The 7,111-nt window shown below is 40.6% G+C and overlaps 1 annotated feature.

The window, feature by feature from the left end:
• Nucleotides 6,284-6,785: an enhancer, noted in NCBI's record as "H3K27ac hESC enhancer chr1:192637387-192637888 (GRCh37/hg19 assembly coordinates)". NCBI's record gives its function as "activates a minimal SCP1, AML or CMV promoter by ChIP-STARR-seq in naive H9 embryonic stem cells {active_cell/tissue: H9 hESC(naive)}" and the evidence as "EXISTENCE:reporter gene assay evidence [ECO:0000049][PMID:30033119]".

Below are 7,111 nucleotides of genomic sequence, written 5' to 3' on the forward strand. Positions count from 1 at the left end.
TGCAGCATTATTCATAACAGCCAAGAACTAGACACAAACTACATGTCCTTCAGCAAATGAGTGGATGAAGAAAAAGTTATACACACATACTCAATGGATTATTATTCAGCCTTAAAAAGAAGGAAATTCTGCCATTTGTGCTACTATGGATGGAGCTGGAAGACATTTTGCTAAGCCAAGTAAGCAAGACACAAAAGACACCATGATCTGGGCCAGGCGTGGTGGCTCACACCTGTAATCCCAGCACTTTGGGAGGCCAAGGCGGGCAGATCACAAGGTCTGGAGTTTGAGACCAGCGTGGCCAATATGGTGAAACCCCGTCTCTATCAAAAATACAAAAATTAGCCAGGCGTGGTGGTGGGTGCCTGTAGTCCCAGCTACTCAGGAGGCTGGGGCAGGAGAATCGCTTGAACCTGAGAGGTGGAGGTTGCAGCAAGCCAAGATCACACCATTGCACTCCAGCCTGGGCGACTGAGCAAGACTCCGTCTCAAAAAAAAAAAAAAACAAAAAAAAAAAAACAAAAAAACACCATGATCTAAATTGTATGTGGGATCTAAGGAGGCAAACTCATGGAGGCAGAGTAGGATGGCAGTTGCCAAGGGCTGGAGGGAGAGGGAAATGAAGATATATTGGTCAAGGGGTACAAAGTTTTAGTAACGCACGATGAATGGGTTTTGGAGATCTAATGTACAGCATGGTGACAACAGTCAACAATACTGTATTATATACTTGAAATTTGCTAAGAGAAGAGATTTTAAATCTTCTCAACACACATATGCACACACACAAATGGTAACTATGTGGAGGGATAGATATGTTAATTAAATTATGATGGTCATTTCACTATATATACATATATCAAAACAGCAACTTGTACATCTTAAATATACACGATTTTTATATATCAATATCTCAAAAGCTGTTGAAAGAAGCCTTCATAGACTATCCTATCATTATAAGATGTAAAAGTTTCATGAGAATAAAATATTAATTTTTTTATTATTATACTTTAAGTTCTAGGGTACATGTGCACAATGTGCAGGTTTGTTACATAGGTATATATGTGCCATGTTGGTTTGCTGCACCCATCAACTCATCATTTACATTAGGTATTTCTCCTAATGCTATCCCTCCCCCAGGCCCCACCCCCAACAGGCCTTGGTGTGTGATATTCCCCTCCATGTGACCATGTGTTCTCATTGATCAATTCCCACTTATGAGTGAGAACATGCGGTTTTTGGTTTTCTGTCCTTGTGATATTTTGCTGAGAATGATAGTTTCCATCTTCATCCATGTCCCTGCAAAGGACATGAACTCATCCTTTTTATGGCTGCATAGTATTCCATGGTATATATGTGCCACATTTTCTTTATCCAGTCTATTATTGATGGACATTTGGCTTGGTTCCAAGTCTTTGCTATTGTGAATAGTGCCACAATAAATATATGTGTGCATGTGTCTTTATAGCAGCATGATTTGTAATCCTTTGGGTATATACCCAGTAATGGGATTGCTGGGTCAAATGGTATTTCTAGTTCTAGATCCTTGAGGAATCACCACACTGTCTTCCACAATGGTTGAACTAATTTACACTCCCACCAACAGTGTAAAAGCATTCCTATTTCTACCCATCCTCTCCAGCATCTGTTGTTTCCTGACGTTCAATGATCACCCTTCTAACTGGCGTGAGATGGTATCTAATTGTGGTTTTGATTTGCATTTCTCTGATGACCAGTGATGATGAGCATTTTTTAATATGTCTGTCAGCTGCATAAATGTCTTCTTTTGAGAAGTGTCTGTTCATATCCTTTGCCCACTTTTAGGTGGGGTTGTTTGTTTTTTCTTGTAAATTTGTTTAAGTTCTTCGTAGATTCTGGATATTAGCCCCTTTGTCAGATGGATAGATTGCAAAAATTTTCTCCCATTCTGTAGGTTGACTGTTCACTCTGCTGATAGTTTCTTTTGCTGTGCAGAAGCTCTTTAGTTTAATTAGATCCCATTTGTCTATTTTGACTTTTGTTGCCGTTGCTTTTGGTGTTTTAGTCATGAAGTCTTTGCCCATGACTATGTCCTGAAGGGTATTGCCAGGGTTTTCTTCTAAGGTTTTTATGGTTTTAGGTCTTACATTTAAGTCTTTAATCCATCTTGAGTTAATTTTTGTATATGGTGTAAACAAGGGATCCAGTTTCAGCTTTCTATGTATGGCTACCCAGTTTTCCCAGCACCATTTATTAAATAGGGAATCCTTCCCCCATTGCTTGTTTTTGTAAGGTTTGTCAAAGCTCAGATGGTTATAGATGTATGGTGTTATTTATGAGGCCTCTGTTCTCTTCCATTGCTCTATATCTCTGTTTTGGTACCAGTACTATGCTGTTTTGATTACTGTGGCCTTGTAGTAAAGTTTGAAGTCAGGTAGTGTGATGCCTCCAGCTTTGTTCTTTTGGCTTAGGATTGTCTTGGCTATGTGGGCTCTTTTTTGGTTCCATATGAAATTTAAAGGAGTTTTTTTCCAATTCTGTGAAGAAAGCCAGTGGAAGCTTGATGGGGATAGCACTGAATCTATAAATTACCTTGGGCAGTATGGCCATTTTAGTGATATTGATTCTTCCTACCCATGAGCATGGAATGTTCTTCCATTTGTTTGTGTCCTGTTTTATTTCGTTGAGCAGTGGTTTGTAGTTCTCCTTGAAGAGGTCCTTCACGTCCCTTGTAAGTTGAATTCCTAAGTATTTTATTCTCTTTGAAGCAATTGTGAATGGGAGTTCACTCATGATTTGGCTCTCTGTTTGTCTGTTATTGGTGTATAGGAATGCTTGTGATTTTGGCACATTGATTTTGTATCCCGAGACTTTGTTGAAGTTACTTATCAGCTTAAGGAGATTTTGGGCTGAGACGATTGGGTTTTCTAAATATACAATCATGTCATCTGCAAACAGAGACAATTTGACTTCCTCTTTTCCTAATTGAATACCCTTTATTTCTTTCTCTTGCCTGATTGCCATGGCCAGAACTTCCAACACTTATGTTAAATAGGAGTGGGGAGAGAAGGCATCCTTGTCTTGTGCTGGTTTTCAAAGGGAATGCTTCCAGTTTTTTCCCATTCAGTATGATATTGGCTATGGGTTTGTCACAAATAGCTCTTATTATTTTGAGATACGTTCCATCAATACCTAGTTCATTGAGAGTTTTTAGCATGAAAGGCTGTTGAATTTTGTCAAAGGTCTTTACTGCATCTATTGAGATAATCATGTGGTTTTTGTTGTTCATTCTGTTTATGTGATAGATTACATTTATTGATTTGCATATGTTGAACCAGCCTTGCATCCCAGGGATGAAGCCAACTTGATCATGCTGGATAAGCTTTTTGATGAGCTGCTGGATTCGGTTTGCCAGTATTTTATTGGGGATTTTTACATCAATGTTCATCAGGGATATTGGCCTAAAATTCTTTTTTGTTGTGTCTCTGCCAGGCTTTGGTATCAGGATGATGCTGGCCTCATATAATGAATTAGGGAGGATTACCTCTTTTTCTATTGATTGGAATAGTTTCAGAAGGAATGGTACCAGCTCCTCCATGTACCTCTGGTAGAATTTGGCTGTGAATCCATCTGGTCATGGACTTATTTTGGTTGGCAGGCTATTAATTATTGCCTCAATTTCAGAACCTGTTATTGGTCTATTCAGAGATTCAACTTCTTCCTGGTTTAGTCTTGGGAGGGTGTATGTGTCCAGGAATTTATCCATTTCTTCTAGATTTTCTAGTTCATTTGCGTAGAGGTGTTTATAGTATTCTCTGATGGTAGTATGTATTTCTATGGGATTGTTGGTGATATCCCCTTTATCATTTTTTATTACATCTATTTGATTCTTCTCTCTTTTCTTATTAGTCTTGCTAGTGGTCTATTTATTTTGTGGATCTTTTCAAAAAACCAGCTTCTGGATTCACTGATGTTTTGAAGGGTTTTTTATGTCTCTATCTCCTTCAGTTCTGCTCTGATCTTGGTTATTTCTTGTCTTCTGCTAGCTTTTGAATTTGTTTGCTCTTGCTTCTCTAGTTCTTTTAATTGTGATGTTAGGATGTCGATTTTAGATCTTTCCTGCTTTCTCTTGTGGGCATTTAGTGCTACAAATTTCCCTCCACACACTGTTTTAAATGTGTCCCAGAGATTCTGGTATGCTGTGTCTTTGTTCTCATATTGCTTTCAAAGAACATATTTATTTCTGCCTTCATTTCTTTATTTACCCAGTAGTCATTCAGGAGCAGGTTGCTCAGTTTCCATGTAGGTGGTTGGTTTTGAGTGAGTTTTTTAATCCTGAGTTCTAGTTTGATTGCACTGTGGTCTGAGAGACAGTTTGCTGTGATTTCTGTTCTTTTATATTTGCTGAGGAGTGTTTTACTTCCAACTATGTGGTCAATTTTAGAATAAGTGTGACGTGGTGTTGAGAAGAATGTATAGTCTGTTGATTTGGGGTGGAGAGTTCTGTAGATGACTATTAGGTCCACTTGGTGCAGAGCTGAGTTCAAGTCCTGGATATCCTTGTTAATTTTCTGTCTTGTTGATCTAATATTGACAGTGGGGTGTTAAAGTCTCCCATTATTATTGTGTGGGAGAATAAGTCTCTTTGTAGGTCTCTAAGGGCTTGCTTTATGAATCTGGGTGCTCCTGTATTGGGTGCATATATATTTAGGACAGTTAGCTCTTCTTGAATTGATCCCTTTACCATTATGTAATGGCCTTCTTTGTCTCTTTTGATCTTTGTTGGTTTAAAGTCTGTTTTATCAGAGACCAGGATTGCAACCCCTGATTTTTTTGCTTTCCATTTGCTTGATAGATCTTCCTCCATCCCTTTATTTTGAGCCTATGTCATCTTTGCATGTGAGATGGGTCTCCTGAATACAGCACACCAATGGGTTCTGACTCTTTATCCAATTTGCCAGTCTGTGTCTTTTAATTGGGGCATTTAGCCCATTTACATTTAAGGTTAATATTGTTATGTGTGAATTTGATCCTGTCATTATGATCCTAGCTGGTTATTTTGCCTGTTAATTGATGCAGTTTCTTCATAGTGTCAATGATCTTTACAATTTGGCATATTTTTGCAGTGGCTGGTACTGGTTGTTCCTTTGCATGTTTAATGCTTCCTTCAGGAGTTCTTGTAAGGCCGGCCTGGTGGTGAAAAACACTCTCAGCATTTGCTTGTCTGTAAAGGATTTTATTTCTCCTTCACTTATGAAGCTTAGTTTGGCTGGATATAAAACTCTGGTTGAAAATTATTTTCTATGAGAATGTTGAATATTGGCCCCCACTCTCTTCTGGCTTGTAAAGTTTCTGCCAAGAGATCCACTGTTAGTCTGATGGACTTCCCTTTGTGAGTAACCCAACCTTTCTCTCTGGCTGCCTTTAATATTTTTTCCTTCATTTCAACCTTGGTGAATCTGACAATTATGTGTCTTGGGGTTGCTCTTCTGGAGGAATATCTTTGTGGTGTTCTCTGTATTTCCTGAATTTGAATGTTGGCCTGCCTTGCTAGATTGGGGAGGTTCTCCTGGATTATATCCTGAAGAGTGTTATCTAACTTGGTTCCATTCTCCCCATCACTTTCAGGTCCACCAATCAAATGTAGATTTGGTCTTTTCACATAGTCCATATTTCTTGCACACTTTGTTTCTTTTCACTCTTTTTTCTCTAATCTTGTCTTCTCACTTTATTAATTTAATCTTCAATCACTGATATCCTTTCTTCCACTTGACTGAATAAGCTATTGAAGCTTATGTATGTTTCATGAAGTTCTCATACTGTGGTTTTCAGCTCCATCAGGTCATTTAAGCTCTTCTCTACACTGTTTATTCTAGTTAGCCATTCATCTAACCTTTTATCAAGGTTTTTAGCTTCCTTGCGATGGGTTAGAACATGCTTCTTTAGCTCGGTGAAGTTTGTTATTACTAACCTTCTGAAGCTTAGTTTTGTCAACTCGTCAAACTCATTCTCCATCCAGTTTTGTTCCTTGCTGCCGAGGAGTTGGGTTCCTTTGGAGGAGAAGAGGCTTTCTGGTTTTTGGAACTTTCAGCCTTTCTGCTCTGGTTTCTCCCCATCTTTGTGGTTTTATCTACTTTTGGTCTTTGATATTGGTAACCTATGGATGGTTTTGGTGTGGATGTCCTTTTTGTTGATGTTGATGCTATTCTTTTCTGTTTTTTAGTTTTCCTTCTGACAGGCCCCTCAGCTGCAGGTCTGCTGGAGTTTGCTGCAGGTCCACTGCAGACCCTGTTAGCCTTGGCATCACCAGCGGAGGCTGCAGAACAGCAAATATTGCTGCCTGATCCTACCTCTGGAAGCTTCGTCCCAAAGGGGCACCTGCCTGTATGAGGTGTCTGTCAGCACCTACTGGGCGGTGTCTCCCAGTCAGGCTACACGGAGGGCAGGGACCAACTTGAGGAGGCAGTCTGTCCATTATCAGAGCTTGAACGCCATGCTGGGAGAGCCACTTCTCTCTTCAGAGCTGTCAGGCAGGATGTTTAAGTCTGCAGAAGCTGTCTACTGCCTTTTGTTCAGCTATGCCCTGCCCCCAGAGGTGGAATCTATAGAGGCAGTAAGCCTTGCTGAGCTGCACTGGGATCCACCCAGTTCAAGCTTCCCTGCTGCTTTGTTTACACTGTGAGCATATAACTGTCTACTCAAGCCTCAGCAATGGTGAATGCCCCACCCCTTGCCAAGCTCCAGAGTCCCAGGTTGATCTCAGACCGCTGCACTAGCAGCAAGCAAGGCTCCGTGAGCATGGGACCTGCCAAGCCAGGCACGGGAGGGTATCTCCTGGTCTGCCAGTTGCTAAGACCGTGGGAAAAGCACAGTATTTGGGAAGGAGTGTACCATTCCTCCAGTACAGTTACTCACAACTTCCCCTGGCTAGGAAAGGGAAATCCCCCAACCCCTTGCACTTCCCAGGTGAGGTGACAACCCACCCTGCTTCAGCTCACCCTCCATGGGCTGCACCCACTGTCCAGACAGTCCCAATGAGATGAACCAGGTACCTCAGTTGGAAATGCAGAAATCACCCATCTTCTGCGTCGATCTCACTGGGAGCTGTAGACCGGAGTGGTTCTGATTTGGC

This window comes from Homo sapiens, chromosome 1, assembly GCF_000001405.40.
Source record: "Homo sapiens chromosome 1, GRCh38.p14 Primary Assembly".
NCBI classification, from domain to species: domain Eukaryota; kingdom Metazoa; phylum Chordata; class Mammalia; order Primates; family Hominidae; genus Homo; species Homo sapiens.